Source organism: Homo sapiens, chromosome 9 (genome assembly GCF_000001405.40).
Source record: "Homo sapiens chromosome 9, GRCh38.p14 Primary Assembly".
Lineage (NCBI taxonomy): Eukaryota > Metazoa > Chordata > Mammalia > Primates > Hominidae > Homo > Homo sapiens.
In genome coordinates, this window is record NC_000009.12 from 121,653,744 (window position 1) to 121,677,115 (window position 23,372).

The 23,372-nt window shown below is 49.1% G+C and overlaps 1 protein-coding gene across 2 annotated transcripts in view, besides 1 other annotated feature; it reads left to right on the forward strand.

Annotated features, from left to right (window-relative positions):
- DAB2IP (DAB2 interacting protein) overlaps window positions 1-23,372 on the forward strand; it is a 218,457-nt gene that overhangs the window by 86,670 nt on the left and 108,415 nt on the right. The window lies entirely within an intron of this gene.
- Window positions 927-1,426: an enhancer, noted in NCBI's record as "H3K4me1 hESC enhancer chr9:124416949-124417448 (GRCh37/hg19 assembly coordinates)". NCBI's record gives its function as "activates a minimal SCP1, AML or CMV promoter by ChIP-STARR-seq in primed H9 embryonic stem cells {active_cell/tissue: H9 hESC(primed)}" and the evidence as "EXISTENCE:reporter gene assay evidence [ECO:0000049][PMID:30033119]".

Below are 23,372 nucleotides of genomic sequence, written 5' to 3' on the forward strand. Positions count from 1 at the left end.
CCTCCTGCTCAGCTGACCAGGCAGGGGATAATCAATGTGTCAGGGGCTGTCACCTGAGCCCCAGCTCCCAGACCCCACATACACAGGATCACTGCTTGTGTCCCAGCTTGAAGGAGCTCACGGCCTGCAGAGCGGGGAGGAGACTGTCTCTGAACAGAAGTTATATCTGGGGAGATCAGGGAGAGCTTCACAGAGGAGGTGACATTTGGATGGGATCTCACAAAATGGATAGGGTTTCCCTTCGCAGAGGGAGTAATTGAGTCAGATCTGGGTTCAAGTCTCAGCTGTGCACACAACTATTCTACAGCCAGTTACCTCTCCAAGCCTCAGTGACCTTGTGTGGTCAATGGGGCTAGCAGTGACAGGGTCATGTGAGGGCCAGAAGCCAGTGCCTGGGACTAAGGCTGCAGCTGAGGGTGAGCTACTGTCTTCTCTCTGGACAGAATGAACAGACTGCGCAGTCAGGGAGAAGGAAAACGGCTTGGGTATTGAGAATAGAGTTCCTCCTGGGTTTGGGGAGGGGAGTGGATTGGGAAGGGGGCTGGGTGAGTGGGTGGGGAAGAGCAGGCAACAGTAGTTTGGATTTGATAAAGGGCCTTGAACTTTGGGAGGCCAAGGCAGGAGGAATCCTTGAGCCCAGGAGTTCAAGACCAGCCTGGGCAACATAGCAAGACCCTGTCTCAATATTGTTTTTGTTTGTTTGTTTGTTTGTTTTTTTAAAAAAAGAAGGCCTGGAGTGATGAGGAGTTAGTTACAGCTGCAGCCAGGGTGTAGGGTGGAGGCTGGAGGCACCCTGTCCTCCTCCTCCTTGGTGGGAGGCAGCTAGGGCAGCCATTGCCCTCCCTCCACTAAAGCCTCAGACGCCTGACTCTACCCCAGAGCCACAACCACCACCTGAGGGCAGGGCCCCACCCAGGGAGAAACTCAGGCTGAGGAAGCCACCCTGTGGCCTTTGAGCCAGTCCCTTCTGACCTTGAACTTCAGCCTCCCCATCCACATGGGGGCTTGGTCCCATGGTGTGGTAGCATCGGACCTCAGAGGAGTGGGTGGTGCCTAGCATCTCAGCCTGGATCAGACTCTTGCCCCCACACCCTTTCTGGCCTCTGGCACTAGCAGGGAAGGAAAATGACCAAGAACTCAGGCTGTGTATTTGTTCAGAAACAGAAAAATGCAAGGAAGAGTTGGTTGCTGCCAGGTTCTGCAGGTGGCCAGGCTGGGGGAAGGGAGCAGGGCTTTGTCCCTGGTAGGGCTGTGAGTGAGGGACAGTATCTGCAGTCTCCCTAGTTTGACCAATAAGGGACTTAGGTTCTTCCCTTTTCTGGGCTTCAGTTTCCCCATCTGAAGGATGGGCAGAGTGAGACCTGCTGTGGTGGGGGGTAGAGCACGAAGCTGGAGGGTAGCTGGAGGTGGGGTAGAAACAGTGACCTTCGGAGGGTGAGGGCCATTTGCATTTTCCCACTGTGTCCCTAACTCCACTTGAAGGCTGGGCATGTCCCATGGATTTGGGGGGATCCTTTCCCCAGAAGGGTATCATCAGCAAGGTGCCTCCCCACCTAGTCACACCAAAATCAAGAAAAGTTTTGTCTCTGACCCCTGTGTTTCCCCAGGGCTGCTAGGAGAAACAGAAATTTTCCTCTAGCCCTGGATAAAGTTCTGACCCATTCATTCAGCCAGTCAGCTCCTCTTAAGCACCTACTATGTGCTGGGCTTCAGCTTGGGTGCAGGGGCACATGGAGATGAATCACATGTGCTCCCAGCCCTTGCCAAGCCCCCAGTCTGTTGGGGAGGCCAGCTTGTTGGGGTGCACTAGGGCACAAGTCTCTTTCTAGGGGACAGAGCAGTGGTTAGTGGGAGGCAGGGGCTGTAGTTCCAGCTCAGCCGCGGACTGGTTGCATGACTGGGCACATCATAGGGCCTCAGTTTCCCCATCTGTCGAGGGGGGTTAATCTTGCTCTCCTGCCTCTTGGAATGCCTATACCCATAGCCATGAGGGGTTTTGATTATGTTGTTCATGTTTTCATCTGAGTTTTTCTAGGGGTCCAGCCACCTGCCAGGCCCTGGCTGGGAGCTGGGGGTTTTGCAGATGTTTTTCTCTTGAGATGGTCAGGTCCTCCTCCGTGCCTGTACACACCCCTCTTGCATGCCTCTGTATCTTGCCCGCGTGGTGGGAGAGGATGGTTTCATACAACTGGTTCCTAACCAAGAGAACAGTTAGGTAAGGACCTGTGTGCCACCATGGGGGGTGGGTAACTTCTCAGGGGACCCTGGCTTTTTTTTTTTTTGAGACGGAGTTTTGCTTTTGTTACCCAGGCTGGAGTGCAATGGCGCGATCTCAGCTCACCGCAACCTCTGCCTCCCGGGTTCAAGCGATTCTCCTGCCTCAGCCTCCCGAGTAGCTGGGATTACAGGCATGCACCACCACACCCGGCTAATTTTGTATTTTCAGTAGAGACGGGGTTTCTCCATGTTGGTCAGGCTGGTCTCGAACTCCCAGCCTCAGGTGATACACCCGCCTCGGCCTCCCAAAGTGCTGGGATTACAGGCATGAGCCACCGTGCCTGGCTGGGACCCTGGCTTTGATAAGGTCTGCAAGAGGCCTCTGGGGCAACAGCTTGGACTTCATGAGTTGGGCGAGCCTGAGAACAGCCCTGAGGTGGGGGGGTTTTGTGGTTCCCCAGTTTTCAAATGTTCCCTGCAAGGGCCCTAGGCCTGGCTCTCTGCCTCCACCTTGGATGACACCTGTGAAATCATTATGCCCTTTTCTGCCTTGTCTCTTCTTCTGTTTCTGCCAAGACACAATCTTTCATTTGGGGCTTGGCCCTAGCCTTTCCAGTCCCTCCTCTCCCTTACATACCTCAAGGATTGGGGAGCTCACTCCCTCTCAGGTTGTGTAATGAGGGTGAAAATGGCTCCTTTTTGTTACGGCTCCTGTGTGCTGCGTGCCTGCTCCATGCCTGGCAATGAGCTCAACTCTGAACTTGCCTTGTCTTATGCAGTGTTCAGAACAACACTGTGAGATGGATACTGATACTATCCTCATTTCATAGGTGAGGAGACTGTAGCCCAGAGAATGAAAGCTTTGCCCAAAGCCACACAGCTCAGAAATGGTGGAGCCCAGCTCTGCCCACCTCCAGGTCCTGAGATTCACCTTGCGATATCCGTGGGCAGGCAGACCTTTCTAAGGTCAGGCCCTGGCTTTGAGAAGGCCACCTCCCTTCACAGCCAATGACTTCACTGGGTGTTCATGGCAATTGTCTCTCACAGTCTTGGTCAAAGCTTGGGAGGGAGGCAGGGGAGTGGCCCCGTTGGCATCTGGTTGCCTCCTCCACCTGCCTGGGATAGCTCAGGTGGGACCTCCCCGGCCTGCCCCTGCCCCCTGGATCCTGCTGTCATTCATGACCTGCCAACCATGCCCTTTCCCAGGGCATGCGACAGGTCTCAGGGCCTCAGCCATGTTTCTCCACCAAAGCCCTTAGTGCTGAGGGTTCAGAGTCCCCTGGTGTGAGGTCCCTGGAGCCTGGCAGACACCTGAGGCCTAATCCCCAGAGCTCTCTAGGTCCTCGAAGGAGGCCACAGGCCCCAGTGAATCTGCTGGAATGTCAGCCTCTTGCCCTTGCCTTTGTCCTTCCTGACCCACCCTCATCATCTTTAATAATCAGGAAGAGAACAGCTCCCTTTCACCAAGCTGAATGTGTGCCCGGCCCCATGCCAAGAGCTCCCCCTGATTACCTCATGTCTCATCTCAGTTCTCCAATCCTCCTAGCAGGTAGGGGTTATTGTTGTCACTTTCCTTTACCAGGTGGGAAACGGAGCTCTGGGTGTGATATTTCCTCTGCATTTTCCTGTCGGGGTGGTGAAATAACTGGTTTGAACCCAGTCCACTGGACTCGAAAGCTCATGCTCAGAAGCCCCAGGGCTCCCTCTAACTTTCTTGGTTGCTGCAACTCAGAGAGCGCTGGAATGGACCCAGGGCATGCTCCTCATCTCAGCGGTTCAGGTTTTCATTCTTCTATCTCCATCCTTCTATTTAATTCTGTACTTACTAAGACCTGGGGGTACAGGGAGGGGCTTGGAGCCTATTTGCCCAGCTGCTGAATGGGGAGGTTGGAGAGATGGATACTTATGGCTCCAGTACCAGGAGCCAACTGTTTCCCTTGACAACTGGGGAAACTGAGGCCCACAGAGCCAAGGCCACTTGCCCGTGGTTACCTAAAGATGTTAACGAGAAATCCGGGTCTGGAACTCAGATCCCTTTGTATCCTGTTTCGGTGTTGGTGTAGTTTGTTGCTTTCCCTAAGATGAGCCCAGATAGGGAAACTGAAGTGCCTGGGCTCCTGGTTGGGTCTTCTGCGGGGAGAGAATGGCGATTCAACTCCCGTGTACTGTTGAACTTGACACAAACACGCTCACATCCCAGGCTGCATACGTGTTTTGCTTTAGAAATGACATGAAGCCTTTTGACTATTTTTAAGAGAAAGGCAATGGCTGTGATATTTCCCCTGCACCTCCCTCTCGGGGCCACTTGGTTAAATGTCAGGAAAGGGAGAGTATTTCCTGGTCAGGAACATTCAGAGCTTGCTGGGAGCTGAAGTTTTGTTTTCCATTAAGTAGGTATTCGGGGAGTCTATTTCCCTCTGCCTCCTCTGTTTCCCTGGAAGCTTGCGCTTGACAGTTGCAGGGAGGAGGGGTTTGAGAATGAGCAGCCGAGATGCCCACGTATCGCGTGCCCGCTCTAGGAGTGGCGGGGTGGCTATTTTTAGCCATCCCGATTCAGTAGAGGCATTTCAGCGTTTGTTCAATATTTAATTATCCATCTGAAATTGGCCCATGTGGCCTTCAGTTTGGAAGCAGCTCTCTGTGCTGTGATTTCCCAGTTGCATAAATAAGGAAGCAAGGGAATCTCAATAGCCCTCCAAATAATAATAACGAGAAAAAAAAGTAGACTCGATACTCAGCAAAGACAGGCTTGGTTCCTCGGTCTAGACAGACCACCTGTATGTTAGCAGAGAAGCACCACCGAGGACGCCCATCACGCCCTTGGAAATGCGGCGGTGCTCAGTCTCCGAATCTCAGATCCACAACTGCCTGGGTTTTATTGGGGATGGGTTTTCCTCCCTTCGCCAGGTTCCTGTGTTGACTTTGACAGCTGCTGGGTACCTGAGAGGTGGTTTGGGGATTTTGCTTTTGGAAGCCTTGTTAGCTTTTATTTCCCTCTTCTCTTCTCCCTGACAGACAGGAGAGTACTATCGGCATCTGGGCTGTGCTATTTCTTTTTCCTTGGCCTTTGGAGGCGATGTGCCGACATAGTTGTGAAATGAAAAAAGGCAGAGCACAGGGAGGGAGATGTTGGGGCCATGAGGCTCTGCCTTCCTTCCCCAAGCCCCTGGCTGATGAGGGAGAGAGGGGAGAAGAGGAGAGAGTGGGGCCCAAGGGTGCTGGGCAGTCGGAGATGACTCCTTCCTACTGTCCTGCTTGGCATGGAGATTTGTGGACTTTGGGTTCGGAGACTGGAAACCAATAAATTGGTAATCTGGAATAAGCTTGGTTTTTCTATCCATTTACACCTCTATTCTGGGGACACAGAGTTTGGCCTAGGAGCGTGTACAGAGTCCTGACTAGGTCATAAATGCTGTGTGACTGCAGACAAGTCACTGAACATCTCTGGGCTCAGAAGCACATGTAACAGATAGATATGATGCAGCATAGGGTGTCATTATAGGCCAGGAGAATTGTCATTATTAGCTGTTCACCCAAAGTCTGAGGGGTTGCTTGCAAATCAGTTAGGGCTGATCTAGAAAGAAAACGTTTGGGAGGCCGAGGTGGGCGGATCACGAGGTCAGGAGATCGAGACCATCCTGGCTAACACGGTGAAACCCCGTCTCTACTAAAAATACAAAAAAATTAGCCGGGCGTGGTGGCAGGCTCCTGTAGTCCCAGCTACTTGGGAGGCTGAGGCAGGAGAATGGCATGAACCCGGGAGGCTGAGCTTGCAGTGAGCCGAGATCGCGCCACTGCACTCCAGCCTGGGTGACAGAGCGAGATTCCGTCTCAAAAAAAGAAAAAAGAAAAGAAAAAGAAAGAAAACGTGATGCCAGTGGGGACTGGACCCACCTAGGTGGTTTCTCGGCATCCCTACCCTGAGAGGCTGCCACAGGTCTCACTGGTACTTGTTCAGAGCAGCAGAGCTTTAGCGAGCCACCTAGTATGTGTGACCTGGGTGCCAGGGGCTGCCACAGCAGATATAGCCAGCCCCCGCCCTCGGGAGCTCAGAGGCCAAGGGGAAGAGTCTTGGCATAAGGTTAGCAGATGGTGTGACTGGAAAGGTAGGCAGGGCCTTGAGTGGTGAGCAAAGAGGGGAGAACAGCCCCTGGCAGACCACTGGGAATCAAAGGAAGGATTTTGAAAATAACAGGAATGATAACAGTGATCTCCATGTCTTGAGCACTTACACAGCACCAGGGGTTCTTCTAAGTCCTTTACATGCATCCTGCCTTAAATCATCATTCTCCCAGGTGGTGTTATCAGCTCCACTTTCTAGATGAGAAAACTGAGGCTCAGACTGGTTAAGTGACTTGCTGAGCATCACCCAGCTACTGAGTGGCAGAGTCCAGGATGTTTAACCCTCACTATACTTACCAGAGCTGTGATTTAGGAAAAGAACTCTTAACAACCCTCAAGCTAGACTGGTATGGTGCAGGGAGAAGAAAGTGGGAAGAGGGAGCAGGGAGGCCAGTCCGCTTCCTGGGGAATTTTGAAGGAGGCCGGCAGGTGCAGGATGGGGGAAGGCAGAGGGCAGGTGGAGAGGAGCTGGGAAGTTTGGAAGGGCTGACACAGGAGAGAGGATGCCGCCATCTGAGGGCCAGTGCTGGGCTCCTGCCACGATCTCTCCCTGGCCTGCGGTGAAATGAGGACTGTAAGGGCATTGCAGCGAGTTTCCCATAACATCCATTTCACTTCAGTAACCCATTTTGATGCCTCTTTTTTATTCTGAGATGATGGTCTTTGGATTCTTTGGGGTTAGAACATTCCTTTTATGCAATACATAAATGTCTAGTATGCACCATACTAAATGGTGTTCTTTTTTTTAAACATCTATATTTGGCAAGAAAAGAAGTCAGTGGTTCTGTGTGGCCCACCCTCATATTATGCTACTTCATAGTTTTCATTTATAGACATTGAACTAGTTCCTGGAATTCTCACAGGATGGTAGGCTGACACCCACGAAGGAGAAGTCCAGGGGTCGTCCTTACAGCGAGAGGAGTGGGAGCTGGTGGTGGGATAAGGTGGTGGGATAAGGCCCTTGGAAAGGCGTGAAGAAGCGGGAGGATGAGGGTCATTGAGGGCTGGGGTGGGGGATGCCCGGCAGGCTGTGGACATGGCTGATGGGCCTGCCTTGGATGCTGATGCTGCAGGGGTTTTGGCACAAGACTGGGCAAGGGGCTTTTCAGGGAGCAGCTTCAGGAGAAGGCGAGAAAGGTGCTGGAGCCTGCAGGGGATCGATTATTTGGGGGAGAGGAGGTGTGGGGTGCAGAATAGGACAGGATTGGAGAAGTTTGGTGAAAATGGGGGTGCAAGAGAAGCTTGGATTTCCCATTAACTGTCAATACAGTCATGGTTCCACCTGGTATCTAGAAACCTGTTCACAATTGTAGGTTTAGCAGCACACAGGGTGGGGTAAGTGTCTCTCCCCATCAGGAGCAGCCTCTGAACTCTCCTGGGACCCTGAGCTTCAGGGAACCCAGGCTGTGGCCCCCCTCCCCCACTTTGGCAATGCTGTCTGCAGAGGGAAGGGCCGGTTTTACTAGCACAGGGAGTGCTCCGGCTCCTGTGTGTCGGGGAAATTCTGGAAGAGGCTCTCTTCCAGAAGTTATGGAAGGTCCCCGGGAGACAGACCACCAGTTTGGGCCAAACCCCTCCATCTACATGAAACAACAACAACAACAATAATAATGTTTACGGCCAGGCACCATGGTTTATGCCTGTAATCCCAACACTTTGGGAGGCCAAGGCGGGAGGATCACTTGAGGCCAGAAGCTTGAGACCAGCCTGGGCAAATAGTGAGACCCCATCTCTACAGAAAATTTTAAAATTTTTTGTTGTGGTGGCACAGGCCTGTGGTGTTAACTGTTTAAAAGGTTGAGGGTGGAGGATTGCCTGGGCCAAGGACTTCCAGGTTGTGATGACCTATGATCGCACCACTGCACTCCGCCCTGGGCAACAGAGTAAGACCCTGTCTCGAAAAAAAAAAACAAAAAAACCCAACTCCTAAGATTACAAAAAGCAGTAAATATCTATTACAGAACAGAAGAAAATAAAAATCACCTTTAATCCAGCACCCACCAATAAGCTCTGGGATCACTGGGGGGTTATTTCCAGCCCTTCCCCTTCTTTTCTTTAAGTTTTTGAAAATTCTAAAATATTCTAAAGTAGAACAGAAAAGCATAGAAAATAATATTGCAGACACCCACCTCTCAGGTTGAACAAACCTTAACATTGCCATACCTGCCTCTCTTCTCTTTTCTTTCTATCTTTCTTAGAAATAGAAATGATTCAGGTCCAGAAGGAGTCAGGACAGTGTGGTCTACTGGCCAAACCCAGCCCCTCATCTGTTTCTGTATGACTTGTGAGCCAAGAATAGTTTTTACATTTTTAAAGGGTTGGAACAAAAAGTCAGAAGAAGGAGAACATAGGGAGTTATATGAAATTCAAATTTCAATGCCCATAAATAAAGTTTTATTGGAACACAGCCATGTTCATTCATTTGTGTATTGTCTATAGCTGCTTTCACGCTACAATGGCAGAGTTGAATAGCTGAGACAGAGACCATATGGACTTGTAAGCCTGAAATATTTGCTATCTGGCCTTTTATGGAAAGTTTGCTGACGCCCAAGATACAGCTAAAGCCACCTACTCTCTCTCCAGGCATAACTGGCCACCTAAAGGTGGTGGGTATCCTGCCTACATGTGCTTTCTGCTTTTACATAGAAGCCTATGCTTCCAAGTGTGTCGAATTGCATTGTGTGTTTAAAAATGGATATGGTGAAATTGCACATGGCAGAGAGGAGCAAACACATATGGACACCCTGAGACCTCCTTAGTTTCCTGAACTCCAGCAGCACAGAGTAAATGCCAGCTCTCTGCCAGCCCTGGAATGGGCCCTGCAGATGCAGAGAAAAGAATCGTGGGAAGAAAACTCCAGAAGAAAAAATGGGGAAAGTGACACTGCCGACTCAAATTACTAGAAATCCTCAGAAAGTAAAAAAGGAAAAAGAAACTCAGGGTTGAGAGAAGACTTTGGGCCGGTGAATTCATCCTTGGAGTGTTCAGGAAATCCAGAGATTTTTGGAAGGCTGGGAATTCTTTGGAAGTGAGGCGTGTCTGGAGATAAGGAATAGGAAGCATGGGCTGTCAAAAGCAATTGTTAGGGAGCTCAAGTAGAGAAGCAAAAGGAAAACCTGGGGACAAGGTCGACAGATGCTGAAAACCTTGTAGGATTTATACTAGGCTACACCAGACTATTAACGCGGCCAACCAGAGACCAACAAGGGAGCAAACCCTTGCACTGTCCTTGCGGAAGGGCCCTACCCAGCATCCTGGGATGTAACTGGGAAGGATGTGTCTCATTAGCACCTCTGCCCCACCTCTGGAATACCAGCTCCAAGCCAAACACGTCCCCTCTGAGCAGCTGCTGTGCCCTGCCCCCGAGTGCTCTATGTTGAGGATCCTCCGGGCAGGAATGGTGGGCTGGATGCTGAGCCCTCTACAGTTGTCCCCATGTCCCTCTCCCACCAGACTCCACTCCCCAGCAGCAGTGGGCAACCTCCTCTGATTCTGAACCACCTCCTGAGCTTACAGACCATTGGAACTCGATCCCAGTTCCCTTTAGGAGACAGCAGGCTATCATAGTTCCATGGCCTCAGGACACTGTACCTGTACCACCTCCAAACTCAACATCATAAAACCAAAACGTGAAATCAACATCCCTCATCTCTTTCTGCCAGGTAGCTGGGACTGAGCTGGGCCCTGGGGACATAGAGAGAGGCCAAGGGCCAGGCGCGAACTCAGCTTCCTGAGTCACTTGGGAGCACTGTCTTCTCACTCATCTCTGCACAGTGCCATTCCTTTCCCACATTGGGGCAACCCTTAGATTCAGAGATATCCGGGCTTGAATCCTGTTTTCAACGTTTCCTAGCTGTGTGGTCATGGTTTGAACTTCAGTTTCCTCCGATTAAAGGTGGAGCTGATGTTTCTTAATTCAGGAGTCGATTTTAGGATAAAAATACAAATACGTGGCACAGTCATTATCTCTCTTAGATCTGTTTCTCCACATTTCCTGGTGATCCATTTTTATTACATAGAGACAACTAGTTGTTTTTTAGAACTATTTGTTGAAAAACATATCTTTTCCAGCATCAATTTACCTCGGCACTGTTTTTGAAAATCAATTGCCCATGTATGTATGGGTCTATTTCTAGACTCTATTCTGTTCCATTGATCTGTATGTCTATCCTTATGCTAATACTACACTGTTTTGTAAATTAGCTATGTTTCAAGATCAAAGTACTTCTTGAGACCAGGTAATGTAAGTCCCCCAACCTGTTTCTTCTTTCTCAACTTTGTTTGGCTGTCTAGGTCCTTTGGTTTGCCATCTAAATTTAAAATTCATCTTGTCAGTGTCCTCAAAATTTTTATTTTGGATTTTGATTGGGATTACGTTGACTCTATGGATCAGTTTGGGGAGAAATGTCAACTAAGCAATACTGAGTTTTCCAAGCCTTGAATGTAGTATATCTCTTTATTTAGATCCTTAATGTCTCTCAGCAGAGTTTCTGAGTTATTAGTCTCTTATGTGTTAAATTTATTAAGTATATTTTGGTGCTCTTGGCTAATCACTGAAGTGGCTGAGATTTTACTTTACTTGCAGCTAACAAGTTAAACAAGTAGTTTCATGAGTGCTGGCGGAAGACACGAGACCCCTGGGTCAGAGACAAAGGACTCTATGATCCATGGCGTAGCAGATGGAATAAGCTTCAGGTTTATATCAGTTCCCCTTCCCGCTAACTTCCTAGTGCTATTGTAGAACATAAAATCATCTATGCTAGAACATAAAATCATGATCTATTCTAGAACATAAAATGATCTTCTTTGTAGCTTTCCCAAATTATAACCTCATGTCCCCTACAGGATCTTATATACAGTCTGAGTCAACTGTTCTAGAGGCTAAAAATTACACAAAGGACTGAAATTCAGTTTTGCTTTAGTATCAAATCATTAAATTAGAACTTTGGAGATAAGTTAAAATTTGACTTCCAAGTTGTCAAATACAGAAAGGTAAAGAAAGTTTCAAAATGATATGGAAAAGCCAGTATGTACACACTTAAAACCTTATGCCTGTTTATATTTGTTAGAAAAAATAAGCCTGTTATTTCATATAGCCATGTTGTTCTAATTTAATAATATAGATTTCAAATAAACATGGGTTGGACATGGTGGCTCATGCTTGTAATCCCAGCACTTTGGAAGGCCAAGGCTGGAAGGAGGATTGCTGGAGGCCAGGAGTCGGAGACCACCCTGGCCAACATAGTGAGACCCCGTCTCTAATGAAAATAAATAAAGAAAAGAACAAAAGTGCAGAACATTACTAAGGTGGAAATTTGGGGGGAAAATAGTTTACAGTTAATGAATGAAATGAAAAATAAGATGAATTAAATAATACATGTGGATATTTAGGTTTTGATAATCATGGTTCCCTCTGGAGTGCTATAATTAGAATTTATATACCCTAAAGAAGTATTACTGATGTACTTAGTACCTATACTAAAGGTAAAATACACAGAGTGTGGAGTGACTGTATGAAAGGATAACATGTGTACAGATGTGAAAACATCTCCAAGCTATATTATGAAAGAAGCAACCAAGGTATCCTATATTTTTGTGGTTTTCAAGCTCTATCGCATATGTCTTTTGATAAAAGGTGCATTATGGAGAAAGAGCAAAGCTTACCTTATATGGGAATAAGTGTGGTATTTCTAAAAGGAAGCTCTTCTCTTTTATTAAGCCATTTGTAGATTTGAAAGAGGAGAGATGGGAGCCCTTGAAATTCCATAGTCCTGAATCAGACGATGATCTGAACCTGTATCTCTCTATCTTTACTTTAATGTAACTAGAATATGTTGAGCCTGGATCCATGGATGTATTAGTGCCTGTGGCTGCTGTAACAAATTACCACAAACTTGTAACTCAAAGCAACAGAAAGTTATTGTCTTACAGTTCTGGGGGACAGAAGTCTGAAATCATTTTCGCTGGGCTAAAATCAAGGTGTCAGCAGGGCTGTATTCCTTCTTGAGGCTCTGGAGAAGAATCCATTTCCTTGCTTTTGCCAGCTTCTGGAAGTTGCCTGGTTCCTTGTCTCATAGCCCCATGTCACTCCCACCTCTGCTTCCATCATCGCATTGCTTTCTCTGACCTGCCTATCTCCTTCTTGTAAAGACCCTTGTGATTATTTTAGGCCCACCCAGGTAATCCAAGATAATCTCCTCATCTCGACATCCTTAAATTAATCACATCTGCAAAGTCCCTTTTGCCATAGAAGGTGACATATCACAGGTTCTAGGGATTAGGACGCATGGTTCCTTGGGGAACATTATTGTGCGTAGCACAGGTGGGTAAGGTTTAGTAACCTCCAAGCAACACCTCTCCTCCCTGTCCCAGAGAGGCGTGCCTAAAGGCTGAGCTAGAAAAAGTGTGCAGTGGTATGTTCTCAATCATAAGTGAGAGTTGAACAATGAGAACATGTGGACACAGGGAGGGGAAGATCACAGGGAGGGGAAGATCACACGCCGGGGCCTGTCGGCGGGTTGGGGGGCCAGGGGAGGGAGAGCATGAGGACAAATACCTAATGCATGTGGGGCTTAAAACCTAGACGACAGGTTGATGGGTGCAGCAAACCACCATGTCACATGTATACCTATGTAACAAACCTGCACGTTCTGCACATGTATCCCAGAACTAAAAGTAAAATTAAAAAGAAAAAGTGTGCAGTGGGAGCCAGGAGAGCTGCCAATTTATCAATGCATTATTTTAGCAAACTCTTTATTTGGCTTCATCCCCTATCCCCAGCCCCAACACACACACACACACACACACACACACACACACACACACACACACACAACACTCTTAAATAGACGTACACAGAGGCATAAGCTGGACAGCTCTTCGTCTGGAAAGTTCTAACAATCTGAAGATTCCATGACTTGTTGCATGGTGTGTTTTGTTTGTTTTCGAGACAGAGTCTTGCTCTGTCACCCAGGCTGGAGTGCAGTGGTGCCATCTTGGCTCACTGCAACCTCTGCCTCCCGGGTTCAAGCAATTTTCCTGCCTCAGCCTCCTGAGTAGCTGGGATTACAGGTGTGCACCACCACGCCTGACTAACTTTTTGTCTTTTTAGTAGAGACCAGGTTTTGCCATGTTGGCCAGGCTGGTCTCGAACCCCTGACCTCAAATGATCCACCCACCTTGGCCTCCCAAAGTGCTGGGGAAAAGCACTTTGGGGTAAATTACAGGCGTGAGCCACCACGCCTGGCCTGCATGGTGTTTTTTACCTTTGGCTTCCTGCTCAGTTCACCTGGCCCCTCCCTCGGGGAGCACTAGCCAGTTCACTTTCCACGTGGGAGCTATGTTTCCCCACCCACAGGTATGTTCCTGATTCCTGATCTTTGGACTTCTCTGATCCACTTTTTCTTTCTTTCTTTTTCTTTTTTTTAGACAGAGTTTCACTCTTGTTGCCCAGGCTGGAGAGCAGTGGCGGGATCTCAGCTCACTGCAACCTCTGCCTGCCAGGTTCAAATGATTCTCCTGCCTCAGCCTCCTGAGTAGTTGGGATTACAGTTGTGCGTCACCACACCCAGCTAATTTTTCATCTTTTTTTTTTTAATACAGATGGAGTTTTGCCATGTTGGCCAGGCTGGTCTTGAACTCCTGACCTCAAGTGATCTGCCCACCTCGGCCTCCCAAAGTGTTGGGATTACAGGCGTGAGCCACCACGCCCAGCCAGATCCACTTTTTCTAACTGGCCATTTGTATTAGTCTGTTTTCACGCTGCTGATAAAGACATACCCAAGACTGGGAAGAAAAAGAGGTGTAATTGGATTTACGGTTCCATGTGGCTGGGGAGGACTCAGAATCATGGCGGGAGGTGAAAGGCACTTCTTACATGGTGGTGGAAAGAGAAAATGAGAGAGATGCAAAACCAGAAACCCCTGATAAACCCATCAGACCTCATGAGACTTATTCACTACCACCAGAACGCTATGGGGAAACCGCCCCCATGATCTAAATTATCTCCCACCGGGTTCCTCCCACAACATGTGCGAATTATGGGAGTACAATTCAAGATGACATTTGAGTGGGAACACAGAGCCAAACCATATCACCATTTGAGCTGTTGTTGATTTTTTTTTTTTTTTGAGATGGAGTCTTGCTTTGTCGCTAGGCTGTAGTGCAGTGGCACGATCTCCACTCACTGCAACCTCTGCCTCCCGGGTTCAAGTGGCACGATCTCCACTCACTGCAACCTCTGCCTCCCGGGTTCAAGTGATTCTCCTGCCTCAGCCTCCCAAGTGGCTAGGATGACACGCATGCATTACCACACCTGGCTAAATTTTTAACTTTTCTTAGAGATGGTGGTCTCGCTGTGTTACCCAGGCTGGTCTTGAACTCCTGGCCTCAAGCAGCCTTCCTGCCTCGGCCTCCCAAAGTGCTGGGATTACAGGTGTGAGCCACTGCACCCAGGCTGTTGTGGATTTTAATTTGTTTTGTTTTGTTTTCTGATTTTGTATTTTCTCTTCCTTCTATTCTTTTCTCTTCAGATGTATTCATCGAGTACAATTTGTGCTGAGTCATATCACCTATTTATATTTTAATTTTACTATTAGTTTTGGGAAGTCTTAATTATTTTTCATTCAGGAAATTGTACAGTCATCTGTTTCCATTCATAGCCCGTCCCCTTCTCCAAAGAGAACGTCTGATAACAAGTTTTTGGCTACTGTGTAATATGATATTTTTCTATGTAAGTGCATGCACATGTAAACAAAGTAAAACATCATATTAATCACATAGACAGCAAGTGTATTTCAGCTTAAAGGGTCCATAGTAAGCCTTACTTTTTTTTTTTTTTTTTTTTTTTTTGGAGACAGAGCCTTGCTTTGTCACCCAGGCTGGAGTTCAGTGGTGGGATCTTGGCTCACTGCAACCTCCACCTCCCAGGTTCAAGCAATTCTCGTGCGTCAGCCTCCCAAGTAGCTAGGTTTACAGGCATCCACCACCATGCCCAGCTAATTTTTGTATTTTTAGTAGAGACAGGGTTTTGCCATGCTGGCCAGGCTGAGTGTTGGCCAGGCTGATCTCGAACTCCTGGCCTCAAGCAATCCGCCCACCTTGGCCTCCCAAAGTGCTGGGATTACAGGCGTGAGCTACCGCGCCCAGCCAGCCTTACTTTTTATTTTGAAATAATTATAGATTGACAAGCAATTGCAAAACCAGTACAGAGAAGTCCCAAGAACCCAGTTTTCTCTGATGGTTGCATCTTACATAACTATAGGACGGATCCTCCAGCTGCAGTTGCCCTCTAGCCAAAGACCCACCAAGAGTACACCTCTAGTTGAATAAGTTGCATTTATTACTCATTGCAGTGAGGGAGAGCACGCACCATGGGGCATCTCAGAAAGTGTGTGTTAGGAAGAACCTAGTATAGGATTTGGGTTTTGGTTGGGTGACTTGGGGGAGGTCGAAGGGAGTGGGATTCACACTAGATGAATTGCATCTGCTGTCAGAAGGCAGAGGCAAGTCTATAACTGTGTAGCTTGAGTCCTATCTCTAGGGAGAGGAGGCTGGCATTGGGGGCTAAAGCTGTGACTGGTAAAGTAGCAGCAGTCACTGCTTTCAGCCAAGAGAGGGTGATGATTGGTATTTTGTGGGTGGCACAGTGACCTTGTCTTTATGGGTTACTTCAACAAAAATTAGGTAGTGACCTTGTTTTGTCTCACTTCATCATGGCCTCAGAGTAACCTTGTCTGAGGTTGTGTCTTTTGCGATTATGTCTAAAAGGAGAATAACGTGGTATAGCCGTGAATGCCAAGCCAGCTTCCCGATGTCAGGGGCTTTTATTCCAGATCTTTCGTGTACATTGGTACCATGCCTGCGTATAGTTCTCTGCCATTTCATCATGTATGTAGATTTGAGTAACCACCACTGCAATCAGCATCCAGGACTATTCCATCACCACGAAGATGTCGCTTGTGCTCCCCCTTTAACATCACATCCACCTGCCTGCCCCACCACCATCCCTAACCCCTGGCAACCACTAATCCGTTTTCCATCTCTATTGCTTTATCCCTTTGAGAATGCCACGTACATGGAATCATACACTATGTGACCTTTTGATACTGGCTTTCCTCGCTCAGCATAATGCCCAGGAGATCCATCCAAGTTGTCGTGTGTATCAATAGTGTGTTTCTTTTTTAGGGCTAAGTAGTATTCCATACTGTGTGTATTTGTTTTCTATGACTGCTGTAACAAGTTAAAACTTAGCGGCTTAAACAACACAGGTTTTTAATCTTACAACCCTGCAAGCCCTCTGGCATGGGTCTTGCCAGACCAAAATCAAGGTGTCAGCAGGCTGCGTTCTTTTCTAAAGGCTCTAGGGAAAAACCCATTTCATTGCTAATTCCTTGCTAGGGGAATTCAATTCCAAGTGGTTGTAAGACTAAGGTTTCTGTTTTCTTGCTGGCTATCAGCTGAGGGCTGTTCCCAGTTTCTAGATCAAGGCCATCCACATTCCTTGGCTCGTGACCACCTCTGTCTGTGTCAAAGCTGGCAACAGCAGATGGAGTTCCTCTCAGGCTTAGAATTTCTCCTGCCTCTTTCCTCATCACATTTCTCTGACTCACCTTCTTGCTTCCCTCTTCCACATTTAAGAATGCATATCATTTGGCCGGGCACAGTGGGTCACGGCTGTGATCCAAGCACTTTGGGAGGCCGAGGCTGGCGGATCACTTGAAGTCAGGAGTTCAGGACCAGCCTAGCCAAAATGGTGAAGCCCCATCTCTACTAAAAATACAAAAATTAGGCCGGGCGTGGTGGCTGAGGCCTGTAATCCAAGCACTTTGGGAGGCCGAGGCAGGAGGATCGCGAGGTCAAGAGATCGAGACCATCCTGGCCAACATGGTGAAACCCCGTCTCTACTAAAAATACAAAAATTAGCTGAGCATGGTGGCACACACCTGTAGTCCCAGCTACTCGGGATGCTGAGGCAGGAGAACCGCTTGAACCTGGGAGGTGGTGATTGCAGTGAGCCGAGATCGTGCCACTGCACTGCAGCCTGGCAACAGAGTGAGACTCCGTCTAAAAAAAACAAAAAACAAAACAAAACAAAGAACAAAAATTAGCCGGGCATGGTGGTGCATGCCTGTAATCCCAGCTACTCAGAAGGCTGAGGCAAGAGAATTGCTTGAACCCAGGAGGCGAAGGTTGCAGTGAGCTGAGATTGCACCACTGCATTCCAGCCTGGGCGACTGACCTAGACTCCATCTCAAAACAACAACAACAACAAATTCTTATCATTAGATTATTCTCACCTCGATAATTCAGGATGATTTCCCATCTCAAAATCCTTAACCTCAACCACATCTGCCAAGTTCCTTTTGCCATGTAAGGCAACATATTCACAGGTTCTGGGAATTAAGAGTGTGGACTTCTTTGGGGGACCATCATTCTGCCTTACTCATTCTGGATGTAACACAGTTTGTTTAACCATTCATCTATAGAAGGATGTTTGGTTGTTTCCAGTTTTGGGGCTATTAAAAATAAAGGTGCTGTGAACATTCTTGTAAAAAAAAATGGTATATAAGTGGATTACACACCATTTCCTTTTGCAACTGATTTTTTTCACTCGACATCATATTTCTGAGTTGTATTCATGTTGATCTCTATAGCTCTAGGTCCTTTGTAGTGCCATTGTGTTCCATGTGAATAGTGTCCTCCCTTCCTTGCTGTGTAATGTTCTATTGAATGACTGTTCCCCTATTGGTGGACATTTAGGTTGCTTCTAACTTTTTGCTGCTACAAAGAGTGCTGCGGTCAGTATCTTTGTGCAGATCTCCACGTGTGCAGGATGAAGCAGTTTTCTTGACTGGATGAGTAGGAGGGAAGGTTCTGGCCCTAGCACATATGTGTTGTCGGTTCCTACTGGCTATTGTGTAATTGTTCTTCAAGCCCTTTTCACTCCATCAGCAGTGATGAAAGTGTTCTGTGCATCTCTGCCAACATTTGGAGTCGCAGTTCTTTTTAATTTCTAGACTGGTTTCTTTTTCATTTCTTTTACTTAGTTTCTTTTAAATTCTGGACTGGTCTAGGACCTTTCCAAAAGGTATGAAATGGCATCTGAGACTTTTAATTTGCATTTTCCCGATCACTGCCGAGGACACAGGGACACCCCAGTCCAGCACCTCCTTGTTCTACACTCTTGCTGACTTCTTTTCTCCTGACGTTAGCGTTAAGAGGTTGCTGCCTCTACCTGCCTTTAAGTATTAAGATCTGGGCGATGCAACCCGACAACTGAAATTTGGTGTCTTGTCTGAAATTACAGGATGTTCCTCAGGCCGCCGTGTTTCCATGGGAACAAGTAACAGTCATCCTTCATGATTAGGTGGTAACCATGGCAACCAAGCCAGCAGCATTTGAATGAAACTGATTTTATTTTATTTATTTTTTGCAAACACATGAAGGTTAAAATGCATTTCTCCAGCTGTGGCTTCCAAGAATAGGAAGACAGCCTGGTAAATGGAGACCCTTTCCACCTCCTAGAGGAAAGGGGATCCAGGATCAGCTGGTCCCATGGCCTAATTTTGCAGACTAGGTGACCGAGAGGTCACATAGAAGTCATGCAATGAGTTTGAGCCGAGGAGGAAAGACTGCTGGATCATGCTCGAAGGTCTGGGGCGCACTCTTAAGAGATCGGCTGGGTCTCCCTTCCCGTGATCTAACCCTAGGAATGCCACTTTCATACTGTGTGATCTTAGCAGATTCACTTCACCTCTCTGGGTTTCTACTGGCACCAGCTGTGGTGCTAGACCTATGGGACCATGAGGCCAGGCCTCCCAGTGTCTGTTTGCCCAAATTAGAAAAGATTTGCTGCAAAATGAAAGGCCAAAGGCAGCATGCTGGGGCCTAGGACCCCGAGGCTGAATCCCCAGGGTCCAGAGTTAGAACTCAGGGTCAGTTCCCTGCCTTCTTTTCCTGTGTAAAATAATAGAGGGTGTGTGTGTGTTTTTACTTGGTTCCAAGGACTGGAGATGACCACTGCTCTTACTCCCTGACTCATTGGATTGATGAAATCAGCTCAGAGAGAGAAAGGGGCAGCCATGGAGTCACACAGCAGAGTCAGGGTTGAATCCAGGCTCCTGGTGTCAGCTTGGCTCCTCACCCAACCCCATGCTCCATGTCCCCTCCATCTTCTCTGGGGCTGGAAGTGTGGGTTTGGGGGCAGTTTAAGGGACTTTCGGCATATACTCTTGCTTCTTCCCTGGAGGACTTTTAGAGGTAGTCACTTTTGCTTCTCAGAACTTCAGTTTCTCCATCTGGAAAATGGAACTCACTATAGAGCTGCCCAGGTTGTCCTGTGGGATTACATTTGAAAGGGTCCAGAACATGCATTCTCAGCAGGGGCGAGATTGCCCCTAAGTGGGCAAAAAGTTGGTTCTTGGGCTAGAAGATGAAAAAAAACCTTTCTGTACAAAGCCCAGTATACACACAGTACATAAAAGATACTGTATGTCTGTGATATTAAAATTTTATGGAGGGGAAATTAGGAAAAAAGTGTCTAAGAAGACTTTTAAGGGAGAGCGACAATGAAAAAACATTGAGAAACGTGGGTCCAGAACCCAGCGATCCATGTCTTCATTAACTTTGTGTTTAGAGCTTACGGCAGGTGGCTGGCTCCGTGGGGAAGGTGTGTGGGGTGTCAGGTCAGGAGAGAGCCTGGCCTGGCCCAGACTCTGCCCTCGATGTTCAGTGTGACCACGGGCACATCACAGCTCCTCTCAGGGCCTGGTTTCCCCATCTGTGGGTAAAGGAGGTCCCATCAGCTCCATGGGTGACTCCCAGGCAGTTGAGCTCCCACCTGGTGGATCAGTTCAGGGTCTGGAGAAAAGCAGGTGGTGCCTCAGACTATGGTGATTAGAGGAGCGTTTAATAGAGGGGCTGCTTATGAAGGCGTGGGCAGGCCTCGGGAACCACGGGGCAGTGCAGGACCCCAAAGCTAGGGACAGCGGGGGCTGCTTCCCTGAGGCCCCATGGAGGAGGGGAGAGCGTGGTTGCTGGGAGGCAAAGGTCCAGAAGATAGGGTCATCCCGATGGTGGCTGGGACCTTCCGTGGAGGAGGCAGGCAGCCCAGATGACTCTCCCTCCTCCCCTCATCTCTTGCCAGGGTTCCTCTTTGGCCAAACCACATGGAAGTTGAGGGTCTAGAAGCTCAGATCATAAAGTCTATACAGGCCAGTGCCCTGGAGCAGAAGGCAGTGCACAGAGACGTGGAGAATGGAACTAGGGGCCACACAGGAGATACCTGGGAAGGTGCCCCAGGTTTCCCTCCAGTTTCGTATGGAGTGCAGGCCTTGCCCTGGGTGTGGGCTGGGAGACTGGAGAGGTCAGGGAGGAGAGCCAGCCGCCCTGTGCAGGAGGGAGAGTGGGCCCCTATCCTCCGGCCACCTGGGATCCTTGCGGCCTTCCTAGCTTCTCAGGTGGAGGGGTGTAGCCAGGGCTTCTGAATGGAAGTTAAAGACTTCTGGGAGCACTCTTTGCTATAGACCTGTTGTTGAGGGATCACACACACATTTCTTTGCTTCTGGTCTCAGCTTCATCATCTGTCGAATGGGAGATTGGACCAAGCAACCTCTGAGAGCTTCCTGGCCCAGACCCAGGAGGCAAGAGGCAGGATTCTGGGCATCAGTGTTGGTCTCAGTGGAAAGACATCCTCACCGGGCACCCAGTGTTCTACCAGGGCACTCCATGCACCTCTTGCCTGGAGTGGTGAGGGCCCACCTACCCAGGAAAGTGTAAAGCTGTGGCCAGGGTGGTGTGTGTGTGTGTGTGTGGTGTGTGTGTGTGTATGTGTCAGGAGAGGGAGGGTAGTTCCTGGAAGCTCCAGCTGCTTTTGTCCTGGTGATCCCAAGACCCCTGTGGGGCAGCCTGACTCTGCCAACCAGGTTCCATAACTGCAGTGGGTACCCCGTGTTTGTTGGTTTGATGGAGGCATCTTGACTAAGCACTGCAGGGTGCCTGGCTCTGGGTGGGGGTGGGAAACAGACAACCCATCTTCCTGCTGAGTCGCCAAGTAGCAAGTCTGCAGGGCTGACTGATGTGCGGGGTTGTGAGTCATCCTTCCTAAAGTGATCTGGGCGCCCCCAGCATTGCCCCAGAGCTCAAAGGATGACAGTTCCCGCAGGAGGCCATTCCAGGGAAGAGAATTCTAGGGAGGGGGAGAGCATAGGTAAAGGTGTGGAGGTGGGACATTCCTGCATCGTGGCAGGTACAGCAAAGAGGGTTAGCAAGAACAGAAGCCAGAGAGTGTGTGAGGTAGAATGGCTTTCGGTGCCAAGGTGAGGAGTCCCTTCTTTCTGAGGGCATTGAGGGCATTAGAAGCAGTCGGGCTTAGGGTCCTGACTGTGCCTGGCACTGCCCATCTCCCACTTCTACCGCTTTCCCTAGAAAGGTGGCTGAACCCGGGGGTCTGCCTCTGGCTAAGGTTTGCATCCTGAGACTAAGCCCTGAGTACCTCCTATGCGTTGGCCCCTTGGCTGGGTGTTGGGACCCATGGGACTTAAGGCTGAAGGAGCCATGGACTCGGTCCAGACACACTGGACCCTCATTCCTGTTGTGGTGCTCAGTAGCCCTGTGACCTTGGGCTGGTGACTGCACCCTGAGCCTCAGCTTCTGCTCTGGTCATTGGTAGCTTGGCTGAGTATAGCAGATGGGACACAGGTTATGGGTGACAGCCTCCCAGAGGGAGGTGGCATGTGCTGTCACAGAGGACAGGAGGGTGCTCCAGGTGGGTGGTGCGAAGGGGTGAGAGATGAAGGCAGACAGGAAAGCATGGGAAGAATTTTCCTAGCAAAACCTCCAGAAAGAGTGGTTATCCCCTGACTGTGACTAGAGAGATTGTGGAGGAGGAGGTCCAAGGAAAGTTCTAAGCAGGAAGCACCGTGCGGGAACAGCAAGGGCCTTAAGAGACGGCGCCAGGCTGAGGATGAGCCATGTGGGAAGGGAGCTTTTCTGGAAGAGGCGCCTGGGGCTGGATGGTCTGGACCTGGTGTCAATGCCTGCCCCAGGCCTGCCTGGAGGTCAGCGGGCCTGAACCAGTCTCAGGACAGCTTTGCCTGCTTGGCCATGAGCCAAGGCTCAGGATGAAGCCTGTGCTTCTGTGGACTCCTGTCCATGTGACTGTGTGGAGGGAATGGCCTGGAAAGCACACAGTGCCCCAGCATCCTGTTCTGCCTTCTGGAAAGCCTGCTCCTTGTGTGAACCCCATGTCATCTGTCCTGTGTGTGTGTGCGCACGTCCCCTGCTCAGTAGGTACCTGGGGTGGGTCTGGGAGTGTACACATTGGAGTATCTGCATGAATATAAACATGCACATGTGTTTGTCTGGGCATTACCGTCTCACTCCACACCCCTGTGTGTTCACACCTACCAGGGAAACCTCTGCCCTGTCCTTCTTCTCCCTTGCGAGTCAACAGGTCTTTCCCAGGCACCCCCCACGCACCAGGCTCCATGCAGGGTGCTGGGGAGGTGGAGATGCAACCAGCTTAGGCGTAGGTGTTAGGAGTTCTGCAGACGCACACACACACACACACTCACACACACACGCACACACACTGCAAATGAGAGCGTTGATAGGAGACTCAGGTCTAGTTATTGCTGTAGGAGCCAAAAGCGAGGCAAGAGCTGGAAGTAGAGGGGGTCACCCAGGACCTCCTCCAGGGCCTGCAGGATGGACCAGGCTGGGGAAGGGGAGCAGGAAGGGAGTCCTCTGTTGGGGGCCACCTCTGGAGCAATGGCAAAGAGGCAGCTGGTGCCACGCTGTTGTGGGGGAACCAGTGAGGAAAGTGGCCAGGTTGGCAGGTTGGACAGACTCAGGAGGTTTTATGTAGGTGTGCTAAGGCCATGACTAAAAGTTTTCAATGAGCTGTCACCATTTAAGAGTCAGAATACTTCATATTTTGAAAAACCCAGATTATCAGCCTCTCTTGAACCATGGCAGCTATGGCTGCCCTGAGCCCCTCCTTGTGATGTAGCAGTAACCAATTAGCGCCGAGT